The sequence below is a fragment of the Homo sapiens genome, chromosome 16, assembly GCF_000001405.40.
Source record: "Homo sapiens chromosome 16, GRCh38.p14 Primary Assembly".
NCBI lineage: Eukaryota > Metazoa > Chordata > Mammalia > Primates > Hominidae > Homo > Homo sapiens.
Window position 1 is genome coordinate 84404961 of NC_000016.10, and position 27188 is coordinate 84432148.

The 27188-nt window shown below is 49.5% G+C and overlaps 1 protein-coding gene across 5 annotated transcripts in view; it reads left to right on the top strand.

The window, feature by feature from the left end:
- The window catches only part of ATP2C2 (ATPase secretory pathway Ca2+ transporting 2), a 95650-nt gene that overhangs the window by 36423 nt on the left and 32039 nt on the right, over positions 1-27188 (top strand). For 4 of the 5 annotated variants that reach the window (NM_001286527.3, NM_014861.4, XM_011523486.3 and 1 more), the window contains exons 3-11: positions 168-284; positions 3445-3534; positions 5608-5643; positions 5744-5805; positions 10523-10631; positions 17430-17579; positions 17669-17737; positions 18228-18303; positions 20775-20841. In NM_001286527.3, the coding sequence (NP_001273456.2) occupies positions 168-284; positions 3445-3534; positions 5608-5643; positions 5744-5805; positions 10523-10631; positions 17430-17579; positions 17669-17737; positions 18228-18303; positions 20775-20841 (776 nt within the window). Of the gene's footprint in view, positions 1-167; positions 285-1627; positions 1690-3444; positions 3535-5607; positions 5644-5743; positions 5806-10522; positions 10632-17429; positions 17580-17668; positions 17738-18227; positions 18304-20774; positions 20842-27188 lie in introns of those variants that run through there. The other variant, NM_001291454.2, reaches the window with a different exon arrangement.

The window sequence follows — 27188 nt, forward strand, 5'->3', positions numbered from 1 at the left end:
TGCCCCATCTGCACGGGGTCTTTGAACAAGTCCCAGCACCTTGGTGGACAAGCCTGTGTCCCTGGCCCATCATGGAAGCCGCTGCCTTTCAGAGTGGGAGTCTGTACCCTGTTGCCTCATTCCTTGCTGCGCCCATGAGTGAGCTTGTGCCTGACCTCTCCTTCCAGGTGGACTTACACACTGGGCTGTCGGAGTTCTCGGTGACGCAGCGCCGGCTGGCCCATGGCTGGAATGAGTTTGTTGCTGACAACAGCGAACCTGTGTGGAAGAAATACCTGGATCAGGTAGGACCAGAGGTGTCATTCTTTGCATTAACATGCATAAGCCAGCGAGGGTGGGGCAGCCATTCCATCTTTCAATGTTGATGGAAGGCATCCTTGGACAGCTCCCGCCCCTTTCACGCTGCCCCAGCCAGCCTGAGCATCAGTCATGAGCAAATCACCAACTCCCAGGCAACCGCGATCAGGAAAAACAGTGATCACTTTCGTAGACAGTTGAGCAGGCCCCGGGCCCCACGCTATATGAGTAAGTGAATAAGTAAGCATGCGCTTACTAATCCTCCTCCTAATCCCGCCTTTGCACATGAGGAAGGAGAAGTGCAGAGGTTGAAAGATTTCCCCAGAGTTGCCAGGTTTAGCAAATAACAATATAGGATGCCCTGTTAAATTTCAATTTCAGGCTGGGCGTGGTGGCTCGTGCCTGTAATCCAAGCACTTTGGGCGGCTGAAGCGGGTGGATCACTTGAGCCCAGGAGTTCAAGACCAGCCCGGCCAACATGGCGAAACCCCGTCTCTTCTAAAAATATAAAAATTAGCCGGATGTGGTAGTGGATGCCTGTAATCCCAGCTACTGAGGAGGCTGAGGTGGGAGGATTGTTGGAACCCAGGAGGTGGAGGCTGCAGTGAACTGAGATTGTGCCACTGTGCTCCAGCCTGGACAACAGAGTGAGACCTTGTCTCCACAACAACAACAAAACCAAAGTGAATTTCAGATAGATAAACAAGAAGCAATTTCTAGTATAAGTGTGTCCCAATACAGTGGACGTGCTTATACTAAAAACAAAAAGTTCCTTGTTTTTCTGAAATTTAGATTTTACTGGGTGTCCTACTGTAACCTGAGCCCAAAGTCACATAGCTGTGAGGAGCAGTGCAGAGCAGTGCAGCCAGGGAGCTGCACCCAGAGCCCCTTCCCTTGCTAGCTGCTGCCATCGGTGCTGGCGCGGTGCTGAATGAATGGCACACAATCAAATGCCTGGAAGCCACTAAGAAGGGGAAAGAAAAAACTGCAATTGACATGGCTCCAAGTTCCATTCTAGAAGTCGGCAGTCCCTGCCACCTTTGCAGGACCAGTTCAGAAAGGCTCAGTGAACAGGCAGAATTTTCCAGGTGCCTGAGGGCATTTAGATGGCCTTAGATCCCCTTTTCCAGCCTTTTGCATGCTCTTGGCCCCATCCCTGACATCCCCTTCTTCATTCTCTGGCCCCTGGGCTGCCCCAGGCTTCAACCGCCTTCCTATTGGCTCTGTGTTTACAGCTTCCTCCATTGGTCGATTCCGGAACCAATCACAGTCCCCTGGGCAGCATCCTCTGTCTCCACTCTCCTTGAGGTCCCCTCCCTGATCAAGGCTCAGTTCTCAGTGTTCTGGGAATGTTATTCATCGATGCGTTTTGGCAGCAAAATAGGCTTCTGGGTATGTAGGTGGTTCTGGCTAGCCCAGAAGCTTCCTAAAACTGCAGGGCTGAGAAGAGGCAGTGGAGGCTCCCGGAAGTTGGGGTTCAGGGAAGGAGGCCGAGACATGGGCTGTGAGGGAGGAGCTCCCCTCTGCGGCTGGAGATCTCTTTGCTCTGCCCTGGCACCCCTTCCACTAGGACCCGCTCCCCCACTTCCCCTGGTTATCCTCCTTCCTCGTTCCCCTCTGCTCTGTCGAAACCCACCGTGAACATCTTCCTTCTCACCAAGGATCCTCCTCCAGCCTCCAGCCAGGGTGTTCCCCAAAATGAAATCTCTTAAATTTCTTGAGAGCAGAGGACCTGCTCATTCATCTTATAGCTTGTCGGTTCAGCAATGCATCTGTGGGAATCCTTGTAGGACTGGACGGGAGCTCCTGACGGCTGGGTTTTCCTGCCCTTGCGTATACGGGTTCTGTCTGCTCTCCCTTATTAATTCCTTACATGTGTTGAGTTCCTCCTGCATGCCAAGTGTTGTGATTCTCCTATCTTTCCCCCAGTGACAGGGAACTCATCACCTCACAAGGCAGCCCTGTTCCTCTGTCTCAGGAGTCTCACCATTAGGAATTCTACCTTAGCACGGCGTAAGGCTCTGGACGGGATGGCAGGGAGGCACTAGGCTGGTGCTCTGAGGAGGTGGCATCTGGGCAGAGATCTGAGTGAAATGAGACGGAAAGCCATGTGAGGATGTGGATGGAGGGCGTCGCTGGAGGGCAGGGTGCAGAGTCCCTGAGGGGACAGGAGCCTGGCAGCCTGGGAATCAAGGTGCCCAGACCAGGTGCATTATTATTATTGTTATATTCTGGGATAGGGTTTCTCTGGTGTCCAAGCAGGAGTGCAGCGGCATAAACACGGCTGACTGCAGCCTCAACTTCCCAGGCCCCAGTGATCCTCCTGCCTTAGCCTTCTGAGTAGTTGGGACCACAGGTGCACCTCACCATGCCCAGCTCATTTTTTCATTTTTTTGTAAAGATGGGATTTTGCTGTGTTTCCCAGGCTGGACTGAAACTCCTGGGCTCAAGCAGTCCTCCCATTTCTGCCTCCCAAAGGGCTGGGATTACAGTGTGAGCCTCTGCACCCAGCCCTTGTTGATATTGTAACTCTCTTCCTTATCCTGATCTTTGGTCTGCCTTCTGAATCCGGTTTTATGTGTTTGCATTTCTTTTCAATCCTCTGTAACATGAGCTACCATGAGATGTCTCTGAAATGAAAGGGCAGATATATAAAATAAAGTAAAAATCTTCTCAGGAAGTTTTGGGAACGGCTGTTTTAGAGAGGGACATCATTGGAGTCCCTAGAGGCTGTTACAGGAGCAGGCTGTTACTGAGTTTGGTGACTGGGATGTGCAGGATTTGGGGAGCTGGTGTGGTGAGAGAGGATCCTTGGCCGTCCTGAGCCAGGACTGGCATCTTGCCGAAAGTCCCGGCCTGGAGCGTCATGGAGATGTGGAGAGGCGAGACCAAGAACTCAAAGGCAGGGCTGAGGCCGGTGTCTTCAGGGGGTCAGTACTGGGACCTGGGAGGGTCAATTGGGTGGAGTTCCAGGCAGAGGAGGACCACTGCATGGGGGTGGTCTCCCCAGCCCTCGGTCACCATGGTGTTGACCTGGAAGCCTGGCCCTGAACTGAGACCCCTGTCACACAAACTTCTGCACAGTAAGAAACCCATTCTGGTCCCTGAGACTAAAGAACGTGCCCCACCCTGTTATTTCCTCTTCAGTTTAAGAACCCCCTGATCCTGCTGCTGCTGGGCTCTGCCCTGGTGAGTGTCCTCACCAAGGAGTATGAGGACGCCGTCAGCATCGCCACGGTGAGTTCCCTGACAGCGCTCGGCTCCCGGGCGGGCAGCCACAGGTCTGCTGAGTCTCTGCTTGTTATTGTATATAAAGAAAAAAAAGAGTTTGCTGTAGGGGGGAAAAAGGAGCATACAGAAGAAAGAAAGGAAAGCAAATCCACATCCTTCTTTACCCTAATATCAAGGTGCCCTGGTTTATTCGGCCACTGCTTGCTTGCTGGACACACAGGTGCTTCTGGGTCTTTGCTAGAGCAGTGTTGCAGGGAATTCCTTTCCCGTGACCCTGGGATGAGGGGAATAGAGCCTGGGCTGTGCACATTTGCCTTCCGAAGAACAACACCTTTGATCCATTACCGAGAGGTAACCACTGAGCACTCATTTTTTTTTTATTTAGATGAAATTCACATAATAAAATATTGACTATTTCACAGTGAACAATTCAGTGAAATTGAGTACATTCATGATATGGTGCCACCACCACCTCTGCCTAGTTCCAAAACATTTTCATCACCCAGAAGGAAACCCTGTGCTCACCAGACAGTCACTTCCTGTCCCCGCTCCTACCAGCCCTTGGCAACCACCAATCTTTTTCTATCTCTGTGGGTTGAATGACCTATTCTGGATATGTCACTGAAATGGATTCAGACGGATGAGTTCATGTCCTTTGCAGGGACATGGATGAAGCTGGAAACCATCATTCTAAGCAAACTATCACAAGGACAGAAAACTAAACACTGCATGATCTCACTCATAGGTGGGAGTTGAACAATGAGAACACATGGACACAGGGTGGGGAACATCACACACTCGGGCCTTTCATAGGGTCAGGGGGCTGGGGGAGGGATAGCATTAGGAGAAATACCTAATGTAAATGACGAGTTGATGGGTGCAGCAAACCAGCGTGGCATATGTATACCTATGTAACAAACCTGCACGTTGTGCACATGTACCCTAGAACTTAAAGTATAACAAGAAAAAAAAATGGATTCAGACAATACATGACCTTTTGTATCTGGCTTCTCCTGAGCACATTTTTTTTTCTTTTTTTGAGACAGAGTCTTGCTGTGTCGTCCAGGCTGGACAGCAGTGCCGTGATCTCAGCTCAGTACAACCTCTGCTTCTCCTGCCTCAGCCTTCTGAGCAGCTGGGATTACAGGTGCCCGCCACCACTCCTGGTTAATTTTTGCTAATTTTTATATTTTTAGTAGAGATGAGGTTTCCCTGTGTTGGCCAGGCTGATGTCGACCTCTTGACCTCAGGTGATCCGCCTCCCTTGGTCTCCCAAATAGCTGGGATTGTAGGCGTGAGCCACTGTGCCTGGCCTGAGCACCTTTTGATGGCTGTCATTCCCCACTTCTTTCCGTTTGTTCCAGCCGGTATTTTAAAATACAAACACAGACTCATTCCACACGATGGAATTTCCTACTTCCAATTAAAAGGCTGGAGTAGGCCGGGTGCGGTGGCTCATGCCTGTAATCCCAGCACTTTGGGAGGCCTGGGGGGTGGATCACGAGGTCAGGAGATCGAGACCATCCTGGCCCACATGGTGAAAGCCCGTCTCTACAAAAAATACAAAAAAATTAGCAGGGCATGGTGGCATGTGCCTGTGGTCCCAGCTACTTGGGAGGCCGAGGCAGGAGAATCGCTTGAAACCGGGAGGCGGAGGTTGCAGTGAGCCAAGATCACACCACTGCACTCCAGCCTGGTGGCAGAGCAAGATTCCATTTCAGAAGAAAAAAGGCTGGGGTAAGTTCCACATCTGCTATGGAGAAGGGTGTTTGCAGCATGTTCAGTGAAAATGGCAGTTTATAAAAGAATATGTCCAGATTATAAGATGCGGTGCCTTAAGTGTGTCTACGCAGAAAAATCTAGATGGGTACTCTGAAATGTGCACGTCTGGGTGGTAAAAGATAGTGTCAATTTTTTCCTGCTCTTTTGGCTAGTATATTTTCTAAATTTCTGTACTGTGCACATGTTTTGCAAGAAGAAAGGAAATCAATCATTAAAGACAAGCCCCTAGCCTGCCACGCCCTGTCCCCCCTCCCACTGAGCCTCTGGTACTGACACCCTCCTCCGTTTGCTGTCTAGGCAGTGCTTGTCGTGGTCACTGTCGCCTTCATCCAGGTGAGTATTTCCTGAGGTCCCAGTCAGGGTAAGCTGGGCGGGACAGGAGCTTCATGGAGTCCCCACCTTTAAACAGCACATCTGATGTGCTTCCTGCCAGGAGTACAGGTCGGAGAAATCTCTGGAAGAGCTGACCAAGCTGGTTCCTCCAGAATGTAACTGGTAAGTCAGAGCCTCCCTGGGACTTTTTGGTTCACTGGAGGAGCCAGGGAGCTGGAGAGTTTGGCAAATGTTTGCTGAAAGTTGTATCCTTGGTAGTGTCGGACAAGAGAACCACATCTCACTGGGAGTTCTAAGGCCTGGTCTCCGCCTGCCAATAGGTCGCTGTGTGTCCTCGGGCATGTCACTCAACCTCTCTGGGCCTCAGCTCCATCATCAGTGTCTAAATCAGGGTGCCTAGCCTGAGGACCACAGGTAGCAGGAGTGACTCTGGGAAGAGGGTAGCCCACAAAGCCTGTGAAATAATGTGCAGAACTGTGTGCATTTTTTCTAGGGAGAGGGTCTGGAGGTTTATTTGAATTCTCAATGAATGGTCTCAGGAGAGTGAGATCCAGGTCTTTAACAAGCAGAGCCATCAGAACATTGGCTGCAGCATAGGGTATAGGAAGAGTGAACTTGAGTAACTACTCAGCAGCTGCAACAGCCTCTTTCCTGCCCACAGTTTTCCATTGGTTACTGCACGGCTCTTACCAAAGATGTTTAACAAGGAAAGAGACAAGACTAAAATGTCTGCCAGTACCACATGGCCCTTTCTGCTTAGCGTAGCCCTGTGTGATAGAACTTGCAGGAAATGTTCTATTAATATCATCTGCCCTGTCCAATATGGCATCTGACAATTCTTTTTTTGTTGTTTTTTAAGATAGAGTCTTGCTCTGTCGCCCAGGCTGGAGTGCAGTGGCACAATCTCAGTTCGCTGCAACCTCCGCCTCCTGGGTTCAAGCAGTTCTCCTGCCTCAGCCTCCCAAATAGCTGGGACTACAGGCATGCACCACTACACCTGGCTAATTTTTATATTTTTAGTAGAGGTGGGGTTTCGCCACGTTGGCTAGGCTCGTCTCGACCTCCTGACCTCAGATGATCTGCCTGCCTCAGCCTCCTAAAGTAGTGGGATTACAGGTGTGAGCCACCGTGCCCGGCCGACAAACTAAATTCTTAATGTTATTTAATTTTAATTTTTATTTAAATATGCACATGGACCTAGTGGCTACCATATTGGGCAGCTCAGCTTAGAACATCTGCGGGGGCCCTTCTAGGAACAGCTGCCATTGGTGGAGGAAGCTGACAGGCCCAGGAGGGAAAACAGCTTTTTCCTTTTTCTTTTCTTTCTTTCCTTTCTTTTCTTTTCTTTCTTTTCTTTCTTTCCTTTCTCTTCTTTCTTTTCCTTTCTTCCTTTCTTTCTTTTTCTTTTTGTTGTTGTTGTTGTTGAGACAGGGTCTGGCTCTGTTGCCTAGGCTAGAGTGCAGTGGCAGGATCTCGGCTCACTGCAACCTGTGCCTGCCTCCAGGGCTCAAGTGATCCTCCTGCCTTACTTTCCCAAGTAGCTGGGAATACAGGTGCATGCCATGCCACCACACCTGACTACTTTTTTGTATCAGCTGCTACAAAAGTTACTGCATTTTTTGCATTTTTATTTTTTAAACCTGATTGTGTATGTGTGTGTATGTATGTGTGTACGTGTGTGCACGTATGTGTGTGTGTGAGCATGTCTGCACGTGTGTGTGCGTGTGTGTCTGTATGCGTGTGTCTGCGTGCGTGTGTGCATGTGTGTGTGCGTGTGTGTATATGTGTCTGTGTGTGTCTGTGCATGTGTCTGTGTATGTGTGTGCGTGTGTGTATGCATGTGTGTGTCTGTGTCTCCGTGTGTGTGTCTGTGCATGTGTATGTGTGCATGTGTGTATATGTGTCTGTGTGTGTCTGTGTGTGCATGTGTCTGTGTGTGTATGCGTGTGTGTGTGTGTGTGTGTGTATGTGTGTGTGTGGAGATGGGGTTTCACTATGTTGCTCAGTCTGGGAAAACAGCTCATTCTAAGCTTAACTTTTAGCATAGCAGTGGTCCATAAGCTCGTTCTCCTAGTAGAAAATGAAATGATTTCAAAAAAGGCCAAAGTCTTCTCCCCACCCCTGCTAACATTGGTTGAGGTCCTGTCAGGCTGATCTGTCTTTCCCGAACATACCTGGCTGCTCAAAGTGATAGAAGGTATCCTGTGATCAGCCGGGCGCGGTGGCTCACACCTGTAATCCCAGCACTTTGGGAGGCCGAGGTAGGCAGCTCACCTGAGGTCAGGAGTTCAAGACCAGCCTGGCCAACATGGTGAAACTCTGTCTCTACTAAAAATTAAAAAAAAATTAGCTGGGCATGGTGGTGGGTGTCTGTAATCCCAGCTACTTGGGAGGCTGAGGCAGGAGAATTGCCTGAACCCAGAGATGGAGGTTGCAGTGAGCCAAGAGTGCTCCATTGTACTCCAGCCTGTGCGATAAGAGCGAAACTCTGTCTCAAAAAAAAAAAAAAAAAGTATCTCATGGTCTGGGGTGTCTGGGAACAACTCAGCCCACCCTCTGAGTCTCCAAGACCCATTTCCAACATTTGGCAAACATACGGCAACTCCGTATTTTCTGAAGGATAATTTTCAGGGAGAGCTTTAGTATATATCCCAGGCACATGTTGTGCAACTGAGCCATGGGGCTAGGGTAGAAAGCCGTAGTGAGATACGGTCCCGCGTCTCAAAGAGTCAGCATTCAAGGGGCGTGTGTGTATAATACAAGGCGGAGAATGACGAAGGACCAAATAGGGACAAGAAGAGGATGATACAGAATTGACCCACATCACAGAGGGTGAGTCAATTGTAGAAGGGCCGCGGGAGCAGTAGAAATGTCTGGGCTCGCTGGTCGGATGAACAGTGCTGTCAGAAATCCAGACATGTGACATCATTAACTGAGCAAACGGAAGCATAAATGATTTATGTGATTTGATGATCCGATCTTAAGCTTAAATATCGAGTCTTGGCCTTTCAGGTGAATAGCGTGCATTATTGATGTCTCCCGGGAGGTCACTTCTAAAAGACGGTTTTATGTACAAAAGCAGCGGTGTCGGGCAGCCCAGTAGAGTTGAAAGAGCGCTGAAGAGGTGAAGCCCACCCTTTGAGTCTCTGAGACCCATTTCCAACTCAGGGGAAACCCTGCTGTGCGGGACCCCCTCCCTGTGTTACTCCATCCCTGGTGCAGGCATCAAATATTTATTGAGCACCTACTGTATGCCTGGAGAAAGGGCACTGAGGTTATACAAGTGGAAGAAATGGGGAGGCCTCGGCCTTTGGGGACCTCACATTCCTACCAAGGGAGTACATAATAAGCCAGTGAAGAACAAGATGACCTTGGAATTGTCCAGGTACACAAAAGCCAAAAAATACTGGAGGCCACCAAAACAAATAAAAAACCCCACTGAGATGTAATAGTGACTGGTAGAAGGGTGAGGACAACCCTAAATAGCTGTCGATCAGGCTGACATTTAGAGAGGAGGTGACATTTAAGCTGAGGCCTGAGGAAGAGGAGCCTGCCATGGGAGGAGCTGAGGGAGCAACAGGTATATCTCTGGCAGGTGCTCTTGGCTACAAGGAACAGAAAGTCCAGTTGCACAAACGCCAAGAAAAGTATATTGTCTCATAGCCAGGGATCTGAGGTGGGAGCCGTGGGGTTAGTTAATTCAGGAGAGCACCCAGGGCGTGGTTCTTTCACCTCCTTACCCTGCCACCTTGTGCCCACTGGGGTTGCATTGGTTCTTGGCTGGCTCTCCTCATGATCCCAGATGGCTGCCACAGCTCCTTGCATCACAGCCAAACACGCAAAGGCCCTATAGAAGAAGGGTGTGTGTGTGTGCGTGCACGCGCGTGTACAGTAAGGAAATCTTTTCCCACAAGCCCCCAGCAAACATCCACTCATGTCTCTCGGGCCAGTGTTGCATGATGTGCTGATACCTAAGCCAATCAAGGGCAGGGGTCTTAGCCAGGCATGACCCACTCCCCAGAGCACGTGGCTGTGGGGAGAGGGTGGATACCTCAACAAGATCAAATTCCATTAACAAGGAAGAGGGGAATTTCTGCTCCTGCATTTGAGGTCTGCAAAGCCCCTGAGGCCAGAAGGAGCCTGTGCGTTTAAGGGGGCTGGATGGAATGAGATGGGAGCTGCAGGAGGCTGGCTGGCCGTGGAGGAGATCTTTGAGTTTGGTACCAGGGTCATGGGAAAGCCATCGGAGGGTTTGGAGCAGGAGGGGGTTGGGATCTGGTTTGGGGTTCTAAGAGCGCTCCAGCTGCCATATGCAGGATGGGTTGAAGGGGCCAGGTCGGAGGTCAGAGTCAGCTGGGACGGGCAAGCGGCGGTGGTGTGGGGGATTCCATTTGGAGCCTGTACGGAAGCATATCCGTAGTCTGAGGGCAGCTGGTCATGGCCCTGCGGGAATGGAGGTCCTGGGCTTCCTCCCAGCTGTGATAAGGCTCTGCCATCCCTGACTTCCTGAGACAGACCCTGCACCCTGAGTGCTGTGTGCTCTGAGGACAAAACTCTGCCGGCTGCATTTGGAGGCTTTAGAACTGCTGACCTTGGCCCCAGGAGCCTCCCTGGGGCATGTGGCCCACGTGGTTTCCAGGCAGGGTAAACAGCAATGGCCTCATCTTTCAGATGTGGCCCAGGGATGCCCAGAAACCACATACTTTCTCTAAAGTCTTATAGGATATGTTAATTTCAAAATAATAACACCCCAAAGGCACAGGGTTGGTGTATATTAAAAGAGAAAAGTGTGTTTCTATTCTCCTTGTTCAAATGTATCAAGGTGCATAAAAACAAATGTCAGCATGGATGCTTTTGCTTTTTACCATGTCAAATGCAGCCTAAGAGAAGGAAAACTCCAGCACCTGCTTGCTCGAGAACTGGTTCCTGGTGATGTCGTATCTCTCTCGATCGGAGACCGGATCCCTGCAGACATCCGACTCACTGAGGTGAGTGGTTCCAAACCCTTGTCAATGGGGTATTTGATGGAGCTGGTCAAGGAGCAGACACTTAGCTAATTGTAGGCATGTATAGTCTCTCTCATACACACATGCTCAAACATACATGCACATGCATACACACAAGACAGGAAGTTAGCAGACAAGCGTGTTCTACGCATAGAGCCCCTCAAACCATATTTCATAAATTGTCATCCTCACTTTAAGCCTGACAACCTTTGGCTATACGATTTTCCAGTTTAAAGCAGGCTGCAATAACAAATTAAACCAAGGTGGGCTTGGGGAATGATGTGAGAGTTGCCTCTCAAAACAGACACACAAGTGTTAGAAAGAAGTGATATTAGAGGCGGGTGGATCACTTAAGGTCAGGAGTTCAAGACCACCCTGGCCAACATGGTGAAACTCTCTACTAAAAATACAATAATTAGCTAGGCATGGTGGCATGTGCCTGTAGTCCCAGCTACTCAGGAGGCTGAGGCAGGAAAATCACTTGAACCCGGGAGGCGGAGGTTGCAGTGAGCCGAGACCACGCCACTGCACTCTAGCCTGGGCAACAGAGCGAGAAGCACACGCTTTTAGAGTAGTGAGGTTTGGGGACATTGGCTGTGGGGCAAGCTTCGTGGGTCTCTGGGTGTCACAGCTTCACAGAGCCATGCCTGAGGCACTCTGCTGAGATTATCCTGGGTTCCCAAGAGGTTACATCAAGTTCACCATGATTTGTTGATGGGAGTAATCTATTTCAAGAATCTTTCCAAGAATGTGTAAGGACTGTTCAAAGCTTTGCATGATGAAGAATTAGACACAGATTATCTGCCTGATTTATTTACTGATGGGATGCATTCTCAGGAACTGTAGGATCAAGGACCCGCTATTAAGAGGGCAGCATCAGGGAAGCGGATGGAGAAGAGCACAAAGGGTTGGAAGCTACCCCCTGGGACCTGGGTTTACAACATTCCTAGCCTGTCTGTGAAATAGGAGGCAGGGGCCAGGGCTTATGTGTGGCCACTCGGACATTGATCCTCTCTGCCGTGACCTTCAGATTTCCAGGCAGGGCAGGGATAAGGGTGGGAGATGTTCAGTTACCAAAGTGAGGGAGGGTTCGCCCTCGGGCTCAGGCTGGTGCCCTCTGTAGCACCAGATACAGATCCTCTGTGGCCCCCGCCTCTCCCCGTGTTCAGCTCCAGCAGTCAGCGTCTGACCCCAAGTCTGGGGTGCATGGATCCGGTCAGAGGAACGGCTGTCTGTGGCCAATCCCCGCCTACAAGGAGGACTGGGGAAGCTGGGCTCACATTTTCCACGTTTTCCTTCTCCCGAGAAGGGGGGTCCTAACAGGGGATGCTCCAGATGCCAGGCAGCTTGTGAGAAGGACACAGGTCCGCCACAAGGGCTGGTGCAGAGGCAGAGAGAGGCCGTATGAGAGGTGGCCAATGACCTGGGGTTGGGCATTAGCCTGGGCTTGAGCCCTGGGACCATCATTCAAAGCCTTGTGAACCTTGAGCAAGTTAGTTAACCTCTCTGTGCCTCAGTTTTCTCATCTGCAAAATGGGGGGTGGTGATGCCCATAGGGTACTTGGGAGGATTACAGATCTTCAGAGATGCCAAAAGTGCTCAGAACGGTGCCTGGCACAGGTGAGTGAGAGGCAGGTGTGGGGGCTGCCGTACTGCAGTGTGTGTTGGAAGTCAGAGAACCCCAGGCCCCATAGCTCCTAGGGCGTGACTCGGGGAAGGAATTCACCTCTCTGAGCTTCGATCTCCTCATCTCTAAAAGGGGCTGATGTTGGTTTCCATTTCACAGGGTTATTGTGAAGATGAAACAAGCTATGACCCATGCTGTGCTTAGCACATGCCTTTTGTGGGGTAAACAGTCACCAGATACTTGTGATTGCTTTTATTTTTTATCATTATCGTTCTATACAACGGTTCTTTGAAACAACTTTTTAGACCCCAGGTAACTTCCTTACTGCTTCAGCTGGCTTTCTCTCTGCCCTGCTTATGTTAAATTAAACTGTGGCTGGGCACAGTGGCTCATACCTGTCATCCCAATACTTTGGGCAGCCAAGGCGAGTGGATTGCTTGAGCCCAGGAGTTCAAGACCAGCCTGGGCAACATAGTGACACTCCATCTGTACAAAAACTATTGTACCTGTGTATTGATACCACGAAGGTTATTTTAAGGCTACTGGCTGTGAACACTCTATGGATTTTCCTGGTGGTATTCTGCAATTCCATTAAACAATCAATAGCTTTGCCTATTCAGTGGAAAATGCTTATCAGCTATTAAGCTCTGAGATCCAGGAGTACTTCAAGTGTACATTTTAAAACCATTTTGGTCTAGCAGGTTCAGCAGGAAGCAGCAAGTTCAAGAAAGCTCTTAAAGTAATAGACCTTTTTGCACAGTATATGGGGGTCCCAGAACATTATTTTCCCTTTCCTGGAGTTAAAACAGAGGAAGCCCTCAGTCAGAGGCTGAGCTGGTACAGCCAGCAAGCCTGGGTCACACTTTCTCCCCTACCATGTCTAAAAGAAAAAGGGAATTGGGTCGGAGGTGATGGGACTCCAAGTGACGCTTCGTCTTGGAGGTGGGGGCACCGGGTGGGCATGAGCCCTGTGTGTGGGAGATAGGAGGTGAGCCCGCGATTGTGCCTCTGTCTTCAGGCTCGGCCTGCCGCCTCCTTGGTGGCTATGGGTTCTGTTCCCCCGACTCTATTTTCGCCCCTCACCCCTCCTTGCCCCTTACCTGAGATTGTGCCCTGGGAGCCTGGGAGGTCACCAGAAGCCCCTCCTGCCCACCTGCTGAACCCACACACAACCACCTTCACTCCTTCTTGGTCCGGAGGTGCCACCTGATCTTCTACCTGCCTTTATTTTTGTCATATGAAGACAACGAATATTTTTCAGTATAACAGGTCTATGCTAACCACCGTATGAAAATTGTTTCATTTGTTCTCCCAACACCCTTAAGAGACCAGCACTGTTATTTTTCCTCTGCGTTATTTTACTACACGGACACAGCAGCCCGCAGAGGTTGCGTGGCCCTGCGCAGTCACACGGCAGTGGGCGGTGGAGGGGGACATGACCCCGGGCCTCTAGCTCCGCAGCCCATGTCCTTACCCCCAGGACGTTCTCTCTCTCCCTGTGAGCAGCTGTTCAGACTCTTCCTGGCACTGCCTCTCCCCCTGAGTTTCCTCCATGTATCCGTTGCCCATGGCTGCTGTGGCAGATGACCGCTTACTTAGGGGCTTAAAACAAGGTGAAGATATGGTCTGACCTTCTGGAGGTCAAAATTGAAATCGTTTTCACTGGGTGGAAATCAACAGTGCTAACAGGGTCCAGGCGCGGTGGCTCACTCCTGTAATCCCAGCACTTTGGGAGGCTGAGGTGGGTGGATCACCTGAGGTCAGGAGTTGGAGACCAGCCTGGCCAACATGGCAAAACCCTGTCTCTACTAAAAATAAAAAAATTAGCCAGGCGTGGTGGCGTGCACCTGTAGTCCCAGCTACTCAGGAGACTGAGGCAGGAGAATTGCTTGAACCTGGGAGGTGGGGTTTTAGTGAGCCGAGATTGCACCACTGCACTGTAGCCTGGGTGACAGAGTGAGACCCCATCTTTAAAAAAAAAAAAAAAAAAAAAAAAAAAAAAGTGCTACTGGGGCCATGCTCCTGCAGAGGCTCCAGGGGAGAAGCTGTTTCCTGGCCTTTCCCAGCTTCTAGAAGCCGCCTGCATTCCTTGGCTCATGGCTCCATGTTCCCGCACCACTGCTTCTGTTACATCTCCCTGACATCAGACACATCTCCAACCCTCCGTCCTCCCCTCCCTTATGAGGACCCTCGTGATCTCACGGGGCCCACCCCGGTCACGCAGACCATATTCTCCCCACGCCAAGGTCCTTCAGTTAGTCACGTCTGCATAGTCTCTGTCACCACATCAGAGAACACATTCCCAAGTTGAGGATTAGGATGCGGACATCATGGGAAAGCTGGGGGCAGGGGGACGTTACTCAGCAGGCCACACTGCAGCCCTTTTCCAGGTCTCCTCCCTCCTCCCTTCCCTTGGGGCCCCCGACCCCACTCCCCATCCACATCGCTCATTCATTCAACAAGTGTTTCCTGAGCACCTACTACGTATGAGGCCCTGGGCTGGGTACCGAGGACACCGTGCAGGAAGCAGACCTGGTCCCTGTGCTCGTGAGTTTATAGCCCAGAGTGACAGACTGACTTAAATCTACTCGTGACAAGTACTGTTCCAGGACTGCTAAGGGACCCATGAGTGGAAGTACTGGGAATCCTGGATTTCCCAAATGGGAGAGACTTGCCTGGCCTGGTGCACTCAGGGAGGGCTTCCTGGAGATAGCAGCTTTTGGCGCAAAACAGCCGTTTTAGGCAAAGGAGGCCCAAGCTACTTGTCTCATGCTGACCAAAAAGCCTGATAAGTTTTCGCTTTCAACTGCCATGGGGGCACCTAAAACCCTCCCCCAGCACATGTGACTTAACCTATCTCATCCCGGAGGTCTCTGCTCCCTGTCCCTCCTCCCAGGCCTTTCCCCAGCCACCTCTTCTCAGGGGCCTCCCTCCCTGCTCTGTACACCCTGGTGTTGGATCCAGTGCTTGTTTATCGTCATTTCCCCCACCTCCTCCATGGAGTATCATCTTCCTGAGGCAGAAATTGTACCCCATTCACTGCGGTATTCCCAGTGCCCAGAGGAGTCTCTGGCCTATCGGAGGATATGGATGGTCAGGTTTCCCATCAGTCCAAACCCACACTCACTCCCCACCCCATGTGCCTCCTCTCTTCCAAACGCCTTCTCCTCCTTCCTCCTTCTCTTCGTAGTTTTCTTCCCGGGGTGGGGGTCATCTTTGATCTCTCCCTTTCTTTCTTTTTTTTTTTTTTTTAAAGGACTTCATTGTTTAGAAATGTTTTAGATTTGTGGGAAAATTCAGCTCAGGGTTCCCATCTACCCCTCACCCGGGATCCCCTCCTGTTTTTAATGCCTTAGCTTACTTGGGTACATCGGTCACAACTAAGGAACCCATATTGATGCCTTCTTGTTACCTTGAGTCTGTGACACTTTCAGATCCCCATAGATTTCCCTAATGTCCTTTTTCTGCTCCAGGATCCTACCTGACATTTAGTGGTCATGTCTCCTGAGGTTCTTGTTGGCTGTGACAGTTTCTGATGTTCCTTGTTTTTGACCTTGACCTTGACAGTTTCGGTTTTGTTTTTGTTTTGAGCAGAGTCTCTCTCTGTCACCCAGGCTGGAGTGCAGTGGGGCAATCTCGGCTCACTGCAACCTCCGCCTCCTGGGTTCAAGAGATTCTCCTGCCTCAGCCTCCTGAGTAGCTGGGATTACAGGCGCCTGCCCCCATACCCGGCTAATTCTTGTATTTTTAGTAGAGACAGGGTTTCACTGTGTTGGCCAGGCTGGTCTCGAACTCCTGACTTCAAGTGATCTGCCTGCCTCGGCCTCCCAAAGTGCTGGGATTACAGGTGTTAGCCACCATGCCCGGCCGTCCTTGACAGTTTTGAGGAGCCCCAGCCAGGTATTTTCCAGAATGTTCTTTGAGCCTCCTTCAAAGACTTTCCTCAGCATCGCTCAGTGACTTCTTATGCTTCATTGTCCAGAGCTGGAGCCGCGGGAGCCACAGGGAGGTGGGAATGTGACTGCGCAGCCGGAGGCCTCGCCTCCCTGACGCTGTGGGGTCCACTGGGAAGGAAGTGGGGAGACGGGCATTACCTGGGTGACAGGCGGCCACTGTCGTTCTTGGGGACTGAGATGCTATGGCAGTGCACATATTTTTAAAAGATGACTACTAAATTTAAATAGTTTTAAATTATAGAGAAGTCGCAGGTCCCTGTTTGAGAATCATTGATCTAGCTGTGGTTCTCTGGTGGTTTGTGGAAGATGGCTTCTCTCTAGCTTGGTGTTACATGCTTACATGACCAGGTCCCTAGGGATAGGCCCACCCAGCCCCGCTTTATGAACTCAGAGGTGTCTGGCACGGTTCTGGCCCTGGGAGCCTCACCTCGGGAGTGAGATGTGTTAAGTCTGGGGTCAAGTTGCGGTTTTGCAAGATGGTTAAGAGTATCGTTTCTGGAACCAGAGCTTCGGTTCAAATCTCTGTTTTGCCACTAACTAGCTACGGAAACTTGAACAAATTACTTAATTCTTCCATGCTTCAGTTTCCCCATATGCAAAATGGGGAAGATAGTAGAGTCTTCCATTGGGGGTGGTGAGTTCTGAGGGCTAAGCCTTGTGGGGAGCTGCGCACAGGGCCTGGTGTGTAGTCAGTGTTCTGCAAATGTCAGTATCTCCCTTCCCTTTGCCAGGGTGTGTGAGTGTCTCTGTGTCCCTGTCTGTGTTTCTGGTGTTACTGTTGCCTTAGATTCTGACTGAATAACCTGGCTCGGTTATTGTGTGGGATTGTGTGGGAACCATACAGATTGTACAGGCATCTCCAAGGTAAAGAGTGGGCTGCGTATGTGGGGACTCACACAGGTGTTTTGAAAGGTATATCCTAAAATAGCCATCACCTTCATTTTTTTTTTAGATTGTATCAAAATTTCGAACAACATTAAGCAAAGATATGAGACTTTTATGTTTTTAAGAGAGGCCGCTCATTCAAAGCTTTTCTGATCCTGGAGGCCTCAGAGGCCGTCGTTGTGACACTCATTCTGTAGGTTCACTGTGTTCTTGAGTTCATGTCCATGAAGGTGCTGGTACCATTTTGTGCTTTTAACACCAATTCTCGGGGTGACAGAGAGATTCCACAGCCTTTTCCCCTTGCTCTCCTAGGTCACGGACCTCTTGGTGGATGAATCCAGTTTCACCGGGGAAGCCGAGCCATGTAGTAAAACAGACAGCCCCTTGACAGGCGGTGGGGACCTCACCACCCTCAGCAACATCGTCTTCATGGGGACCCTGGTGCAGTATGGGAGGGGCCAGGTAAGCCCTGGGACACCGAGGCCTTGGGCTCCCGTAACCCACAGGCTCCCAGCCCTTAGATTTCATACTTCTCTCTCTCCTGGACACAGGGGGTCGTGATTGGAACAGGGGAAAGCTCTCAGTTCGGAGAAGTGTTTAAGATGATGCAGGCTGAAGAGGTAAGGGGCAGGAGGGGGCTTCGGGACTTTTGTAAGCTGGAGTTTGAGATTATTATAGGCAAATAATACCAGCCTTGCCTACTCCTTAGGAATGAGTGGCATGTGGTTCATATGAGTATACTTTTTAAACATTTAATTTTTTTTTTTAATAGAGACAGGGTTTCGCCATGTTGCCCAGGCTGGTCTCAAACTCCTGAGCTCAAGCAATCTGTCTGCCTCAGCCTCCCAAAGTGCCAGGATTACAGGCATAAGCCACCACACCTGGCCTCTTTTCAAACACGTAAGACATTTGTTAGCATTTTGATAAAGATACAGCTTTCAGACAGTAATACGCACAGGTCTTCAGTGCAAAAGTCAATGAATGTTGACATATGTGTACCCCTGTGTAATCATCACTGAAGCTGTAGGATGGCAAGGTGAAGACATTTTGAACAAAGGCAGGCAGAAGCTAGGATCTTGTCCAACTAACCCATTGTGCTCACCCTTTCAGACACCTAAAACTCCTTTGCAGAAAAGCATGGACAGGCTAGGAAAGCAACTGACACTCTTCTCCTTTGGCATAATCGGTGAGTGAAGCAGTTTCCATACTGGGTTTGTTCTGCAGATGGAGGGGAGCCATCATAGGGGGGTTGCCATGGCCGTTTCTCAAATATCTTGCTACTCAGCTGCATAAGGCTTGGGGATTGGGATCAGAGGCTCTCCACAAGCAACAAGAGCTTTCTGTATAGTTGGACCAGGCTGGCTGCTGTAACAAGCAGCCACTACATTTTCTTGGCTTAACAGAGTAAACGCTTGTTCCTTGCTCACACCGCAGTCCAAAGTCCGTGGGTGTATTCCTGGTCCAGTGGCTCTCCTGGATAGCTCGCCTACAAACAGTGACTTGGGCCCAGGCCCCTGTTACATTGCTGCTCTATCTTCCTCTGGGTCCTTGGAGGCCATGTTTCTGTTCAGCCAGCAGATGGTGAAAGAGGAAACATGGAGGCTTGTGGAGGACATTTTTAAGGCATAGACCAGGAAGTGGAATCATCAATTTGACCATCTTTTATTGGCCAGAATGGAGTCACATGGCCTACATAACTGCAAAGGAGACTGGGAAATGTAGTTTATCTGTGCACCCAAACATATTTCTATGCTTCTAAGCAGGCTGTTCCTGGACTGGGACTTCCTGACCTTTGGTAACACAACAAACAGCATTGACATGATGCTGCGGTTCTGAATCTAGATCTTAAGGCTTGACATCCCCATAGTGCTGCCCCAGTCCCTTCTGGGGCTTCTTCCTGTTCTTTCCATATCTGGCCTTACTTCTGTGTCCTTTATTCCAGCCTTTAGGATCAACCCATGCCTGGCCCCTAATAGATTCTCAGTAAATATTTGTTGAGTAAAACATTTAATCAAGGAATAAACCAACAAGCCACTGCCTATAGCACATCTAGTGATGAGGGGGGTGCTGGTGAGTGTAGCCAAAACTGCGAAGCCAGAGAACAGTCTTGAGAGAAACAGCTTATGTAAGCCCATGTTTCTTAAGTTAAATTAGAACTTAAATTGACATGTCCACAGCAAGACCCATGATATCATTCAGACATTTTTTTTGAGGGGGCAGGAATGGAGTCTCACTCTGTTGCCCAGACTGGAGAGCAGTGGCGTGATCTCAGCTCACTGCACCCTCTGCCTCCTGGGTTAACCAATTCTCCTGCCTCAGCCTCCTGAATCTCTGGGATTACAGGCATGCACCATCACGCCCAGCTGATTTTTGTATTTTTGGTAGAGACAGGGTTTTGTCATGTTGGCCAGGCTGGTCTCAAACTCCTGGTCTCAAGTGATCTGCCCGCCTTGGCCTCCCAAAGTGCTAGGATTACAGGCATGAGCCACCGCACTGGGCTTTTTTTTTTTTTTTTTTTTTTTAACATTTTGGGAACTGCTCTAGCAGATGGAGAGTTTTGACACTCAGTCCCATGGACCCCCTAGAAGGCCCAAGGGGCAGGTGCAGGGAAGCAACACCATGCTGGTCAGCGCTTCTAGAGGAAAGTAGCATTTGCCAATTCCCATGGTGCAAATACTCTCAGTGTGGCCGTTTTCAAGCTACTAATGTATAGACACAGAACATGGATTTCGGAAGAGATGTACCTAGTTGATTCTTGTGAGCTCCTGTGAGGAGTCTCCAGCCTTCTACTATGGGAATGCCACAAGGGTGGAGTGAGTACCTAGTGGGGGTGGCTCTAGGCTCACTGCCTCACCCCTATTTCCAATAGAGCTCCCCTTGCTAATCTATTTCATTTGAGTTCATTTGGGTTCTAGCTAAGATTTCAGCTGATGACTGAGTTTAGTAGCCAATAGTAGAATGCCCAAAACAAAACTAACAGATACTGTGGCAGCTGCCCCCCTCAATACATACACACACACACCCCGCTACCATCCATCAGAAAACATCCCTGGCCCCCTGGCCCCTGCAAAGCAAAGCTAACGTTCTTTAGCAAGCTCTCCAAGGGTGTCACCTGGCAACACCACCCACCTTCCCAGTCCCTACTCACACCTCCGTGTCTCGTACACCTAGTGCAGTAACTGGTGTGCAGTACGTATTTGGTAAATTATTAATGAAGGAAAATGGAAATGGAGTATATTTAATCATGAGTACCACAGAGTAAAATAATTTGAAAAAACAGTGACCTATCTGCCCATCACAGGAGCAGTTGCATTTGCCACAACAAACACCACATGGGGGGATGTTCTGGATACACGCAGCCGACGGTAAACTTTGGGAATAAGATGTAAATGCTTGCGAACAGTCCAAAATAGACTGATTGAGCCTTTTACTTAAATTTGGCTTGGACCTTTCCTAAGAAAGTAAAATCGGGTTTTTGTAGGTATAAACGTATCTCCCTTAGAAAAGAGAAGAGACGGGTTGAAAGTGGTTGAGGTTATCAGGCGTTCCTCTGTGCATGCATTCCTGTAAACTCTTTAAGGAAGTGAGTTTGAATCCCTCCAGGCATCAGCGTGTGTAGTGCATATGGAGATAAGGATGTTTTTGTCTCTTCCCCAGGTCTCATCATGCTCATTGGCTGGTCGCAAGGGAAACAACTCCTGAGTATGTTCACGATCGGGGTCAGGTAAGAGTGCTATGGCCGCCCCTTGCCTTGCCAGGGTGGTCAATGGGCTCTGAGCCCTTCCCTGCCGCAAGAGAAGGTGGGGAGGCTGCAGAATAGGAAGGGTTGGGAAGGTGCAGCCCCGTCACCCAAACTCCAGCCTCCCAATAGCATGTTCTCCGACAGGTACAGAGTGCCCGGCGAATGCTTGCAAAATGAATGACAGCAAATGATCCAGGGTGTCCCTTTTGTATTAGGCTGTTCTTGCATTGCTAAAAAAAAAAAAAATACCTGAGGCTTGGTAATTTATTAAGAAAATAGTTTAATTGGCCTATGGTTCTACAGGCCGTACAGGAAGCATGGTGTCTGCTCAGCTTCTGGGGAGGCTCCAGGAAGTTTCCAATCAAGGCGGAAGGGGAAGGGGGAGCAGGCATGTCACATGGCAAGAGCAGGGGCAGGAGAGGGAGGAAGGGGAGATGCCACATGCTTTGAAACAATTAGATCTCTCAGGAACTCACTCCAGCAAGAACGGCTCGAAGGAGATGGCGCTAATCCATTCATGAGGGATCCACCCCATCGTCCAATCTCCTCCCACCTCCAACACTGGGGCTTATGTTTCAACTTGAGGTTTGAGTTGGGACACACATTCAAACTGTATCAGCTTTCTTGTCACTCTTTGCCTGTGGGTTTGGGTCTTTCTGGCTAAGAGCAAGGACCCCAGAGCCAGCCTGCCTCTGTTTAAATTCTACGCTTGCCACAAAACTGGAGGTTCTGTGACCTCCAGCAAGTTTCTTAGCTCTCTGTGCCCCAGTTTCCTCCTCTGAAAAATGGGAATGCTCATATACCCTCTCCTAGGGCGACTGTCTGGATTAAAGGAGTTAGTCTGTGCAAGCACCCACATGATACACAGTGCAGAGTGAGTGTTGGCTCTTAATACTGGTTTACAACTCTATCCAAGCCCTTGTCTTACAGAGGAGGCTATCAGAGCGGCAATGGATGTAGAGCCCAAGGCCACACGCGGACAGCAGGGCTGGGAGTCATCATCACTTGATGATGCTAAGCCGAGGGGACCCGCCCTTCTTCTACGTAGTGATTCATAAGTCATCCCAAGCCCCTGGGTCCTGGTGGCCGAGACAGGGAGAGGCACGGGCAGCCCAGCATCGTGCAGCGGTTTGACTTTGTCAGTAGTTCTTCTGTGGCTATTTGCCAAGAGCAAGGGAAGCAGAGGCCGGGGATTGTCACTAACTGGGTATGTCCCATTGGAAGGGAGCCTAGGGGCTGTGCCAGGACACGGAGGAACCAACCCATGTCTAGGCTCATGTCAGGCCCATTGGTTCCCAGACAGTAACGCACACGCAGCTGCTGTCTGCAACGTGTTTTTAGGTGATGTGTGGAAAATCATTCTAGTGTCTGTTCATATGTATATATATGTAATTAATACATCAAACCCATGATGTAAACAAACTTAGATGTCCATCAGCTCATTAAAGAATAAACAACTTAGGTACAGTGGAATATTTTTCAGCCACAGAAAGGAATGAAGTACTGATTCATACTGCAACATGGATTAATGTTGAAGCCATTTTCCTAGGTGAAAGAAGCCAGTTGCACATGTTATATGATTTTATTTATATAAAATATTCAAAAATAGGTCACTCGGCCAGGCGCGGTGGCTCATACCTGTAATCCTAGCGCTTTGGGAGGCCAAGGCAGACGATCACCTAAGGTCAGGAGTTCTAGACCAGTCTGGCCAACATGGTGAAACCCTGTCTCTACTAAAAATACAAAAATTAACTGGGTGTGGTGGCAGGCACCTAAAATCCCAGCTACTCGGGAGGCTGAGGCAGAAGAATCGCTTGAGCCCGGGAGGTGGAGTTTGCAGTGAGCCGAGATTGCGCCACTGCCCTCCAGCCTGGGTGACAGAGCAAGAGACTGTCTGAAAAAAGAAACAAACCAAAACATAGGTCACTTCATAGAAACAGAAAGTAGGTTAGTGTTTGCCAGGGCCTGGGGTTGGGGAGTGTGTAGTGACTCCTAACAGTTATGGGGTTTCCTTCGGGGGTGAAGAAAATGTTCCAAAATTGATTGTGCGGATAGGTGCACGACTCTGCATACACTAACCACCATTCAATTATATATGTTAAAGGAGTGAATTTTATTATATACAAATTATATATCAATAGAGAAACCAGAAAGGTATAGAACAGGCAACTAAGAATGCTGTTATTGAGAGGGTCCTCGGAGCCTTTCTAATTTATATATGAAGAGTAAACCATTATTGCAAATGTGTGCTGTAATGATCATTACAGTGAATTACAGCAGACAAACTCCTGGTGGATTGAGGCATCCCAGTGTGTGCTGGGACACAGAGGTTTGTCCTGCTGGCCAGTGTGGGCAAGAGAATCTTGCTTTAAGGGTTGAGTGTACTGGGTCTGGTACATGGTATCAGGTACCTAGTATCAGGTGTACATGGCTCTGGTGCATAGTCAGGCTTGCCTGTGTATACATGAATGTACACGATTATCTGGTAATTAGTAGTAGAAGAGATTCCAAATGCCTTATTTTTTCAACGACACTGCATGGTGTGCATTAATTGAGGGGCAGGTGGTAAAATCAACATGTGGGCAGCTGTGTGTCCTATGACAAAAGCATTCAATAACTGTTTTTTGAGTTAATGGGAATTGGAAATACTGTGTCTGGCTTTGGATACTTTGTCACTCAGTGTATTTAACAAACAAAATCTTAGTAACACCAAATGCTGAGAGCACACAAAAAAAACATGGAAAAGAGGAGCTGGAATATTATGTGATGATGTGGGCACACAGATGTGATAAAAATCCTAAAAGCAAAATACAAATGACAGACACTTGGAAAACCCCATCCCAGATAAATTCTAAGTCATAATAAGTTCATCTCTTCCCTTAAAGAAAAAAAAATCCTGTAATGAGACACACAAGACATTCAAACCACATCAGAATACCCTTAAATGATAGTTTTCAATAGGAAAAGAAGAACAAGAAAAAAAGCTGTACTCATAGATAATAGTCTTTAGGTTTTAGCTTTAAACAACCTATAAATGAGCGGAGATGTATGCCAGGGGTTGGACTTTCCCCCTAGACCTGTTTGGAACCATGAAAATGATGCAGTGGTGCTGTACAGGTGTCTTTGCTGGGTTGCAGCCCTTTTTCCCTGAATATATGCCCAGGTTCTCGGTTTGTTTTACTAATGGCCCTGCGAAAGGGCATCTTAGGCTCTGGATAATGAAACCCAAGGGGGTCTATTGAATGTAGGATGGTCTTGATCTCTAGTGAATTGGGGCTTTCTGGCTTAATATCCTGAACAGAACGATCTTCATGGCGTTGTTTTTTTTGTTTGTTTGTTTGTTTGTTTTCAGACAGAGTTTCACTCTTGTCGCCCAGGCTGGAGTGCAATGGCACGATCTTGGCTCACTGCAATCTCCATCTCCCAGGTTCATGCAATTCTCCTGCCTCAGCCTCCCAAGTAGCTGGGATTATAGGGGCGCACCACCACACCCAGCTAATTTTTTAAATTTTAAGTAGAGATGGGATTTCACCATGTTGGCTAGGCTGGTCTTGAACTCCTGACCTCAGGTGATCCACCTGCCTCAGCCTCCCAAAGTGCTGGGATTACAGGTGTGAGCCAGTGCTTCCAGCCTTCGTGGAGCTTTTGAGGAGCATTTATCCTTCGGTGTTACTGTGTATAGCACGTGACTGCGTGATCTGTTCGTATCACTTTCATTGAATCCCTTTCATGTTCATGTAGTGTTGGGATTGGGGGAGGTTGTGAACAAGACAGTCATGGTTCCCACCTTCAAAGATTGTAGGTCTCAGTGGGGATGGAGAATCGATGGGAATCAAGGGCTAGAGGAAGAGAGCTGGGAAGAGAGGCAGAGGCAGGTGGGAGAGGGAGCGTGAAGCTGAGATCTGGAGGAGCTGTGGCTGATGTGATGAGGCCTTGGAGGAGACTGGGTGTGCATATTCCTGTGGCTGTCAAAACAAAGCACCACAGGCTGCAGGGCTGGAAACAGAAGCTTATTCTCACCATTCTAGAGGCCAGAAGTCCGAGGTCCAGGTGTGGCAGGAGCATGCTGTTCTTGAAGACCCTAGGGGGAGAATCAGCCAAATGCTTCTCAGCTTCTGGTGTCACAGGCAGTCCTGAGCACATAGATATCTTGCCTCTAGTCTCTGTCTGTCACATGGTCTCCTCCTCTGTCTCTGCGTCTCTTCTCTTCTTTTTATAAGGACGCCAGTTGTATTGGACTAGGGTGGATACTCTAATGACCCCATTTTTATTTGATGATGTCTGCAAAGGCCCTGTTTGCACATAAGGTCACATTCACGTGTACCAGGAGTTAGGATGTGAACATATTTTATTGGAGGGACACAATTCAACCCCTTAGCAGCAGGCACTGGGCTGCCGGGAGAAGGGGGTGGATGGACAACAAGCTCGTTGAAGGAGATGAGGACAAGGAGGCCTGAGCCAGGGCTGGGAAGACCCGTCTACGCGAACGGCAAAGTTGCCAAGAGCAGCCTGCAGGTGGACAGAGTAAAGTCAGTTCTGGGCCGGGTGCGGTGGCTCACGTCTGTAATCCCAGCACTTTTGGACACTGAGGCAGACGGATCACTTGAGGTTAGGAGTTTAAGACCAGGTTGGCCAACATGGTGAAACCCCATCTGTACTAAAAATACAAAAATCAGCTAGGCGTGGTGGCACGTGCCTATAATCCCAGCTACTGGGGGGCAGAGGCAAGAGAATTGCTTGAACCCGGGAGGCAGAGGTTGTAGTGAGCTGAGATCACACTACTGCCCTCCAGCCTGGGCAGCAGAGTGAGACACCATCTCAAAAAAAAAAAAAAAAAAGTCAGTTCTAGAATCTTCAAGGAATTGAAGAGGGAGGGACCAGGGTCTTTTGGTGCTGGAGAAGGAGCAGGAGTAGAACATGTGATCCCAGTTCACCCTTACACAGCCCATGGGGTAAGTCTGGCCTCCTTTTTACAGATTGGGAAACAGGCTTACACTAGCACAACTTATGGGATCAGGGCATGGAAGAGACAGACTTCAAACCACTGAAGCCTGATCCAAAGCCGGGCTCCTTGTCAGCAACCCAACCCCCCCACCTCAGCAGGATGGGGACTCTGCTGCCAGCCACTGCCCCTCACTCCCTATCCTTGGCGGCCATTGGCAATGGGCTCGAGTTTGTTTGCCCCATGAATATGTATTGGGCATCTGTTGACTCTCTGTTTACATCAAAAGTGCTGATCCAGCTGGATCAGGTAGATCTCTGCCCTCCTGGAGTTTTCTGGCTGGGGAAAAAAGTGAATGTTAACAATTTAAGCACACATTAATAAAAATAATTACAACTTATGAGTGCTACAAAGGAATAACTGCCGAGAAAGAGATTAAAAGGGAGGTAGAAACCAGCTGGGCATGGTGGCTCACACCTGTAATCACAGCACTTTGGGACTCTGAGGTGGGCAGATCACTTGAGATCAGGAGTTCAAGAACAGCCTGGCCAATGTGGTGTTGCATCTCTACCAAAAATACAAAATTAGCCGGGCATGGTGGTGTGTACCTGTAATCCCAGCTACTCAGGGAGGCTGAGGCAGGAGAATCGCTTGAACTTGGGAGGCAGAGGTTGCAGTGAGCCGACATCTCACCACTGCACCCCAACCTGGGCAACAGAGCAAAACTCTGTCTCAAGACGAAAAAAAGGGAGGTAGAAGGGGATGGACTGGAAGAGGTGGCCAGGGAGGGTTATGGGTAGAGAGTTGAGGAGTCAGGAGATGAGCAGGAAGGGTGTTCAGGCAGGGGGAACAGCACAGGCAAAGGTTTGGGGGTGGGAACATATCCGAGGGTCACTTGGGGGGGACCACAGCTGAGCTCTGTGAGCAGAATGAGATGATGGAGTTGCTTAGATCATGGGGAAACTCATGGCCCCTTCTCCTATTCCTAACCTCATCATCAGAGCCTTTCCCAATACGCCACGCCAGGCTGTCTCTGTGACACTTTGGAAGCAGAGAGATGAAAAGTGTTGGCCACCCTTGATTTAGAGGCCGAAGGAAGTGGGAGGTGGGAGCCCCAGCTTATTACAGAAGCGGGGGCTGGGAGGAAGGGGGCACTGGAGCAGGACGCCGAGCTGTGCTGGGGACAGTGGGGTTTGGGGCATTGGAAGAGCACCTGCAGAGGCAGGCACTGGAGAGCTGAGGTCTCCCGCCGAGCTGAAGAACGGGAGGGTCCCTGAGAGAGATGGCAAACCTGGATGGCCGCTCCCCCAACTCGGGGCTGGGTGGGGCCCGAGACTCACATTTCTTTCTTTCTTTTTATTATTTCAGTAGGCTTTTCGGGAACAGG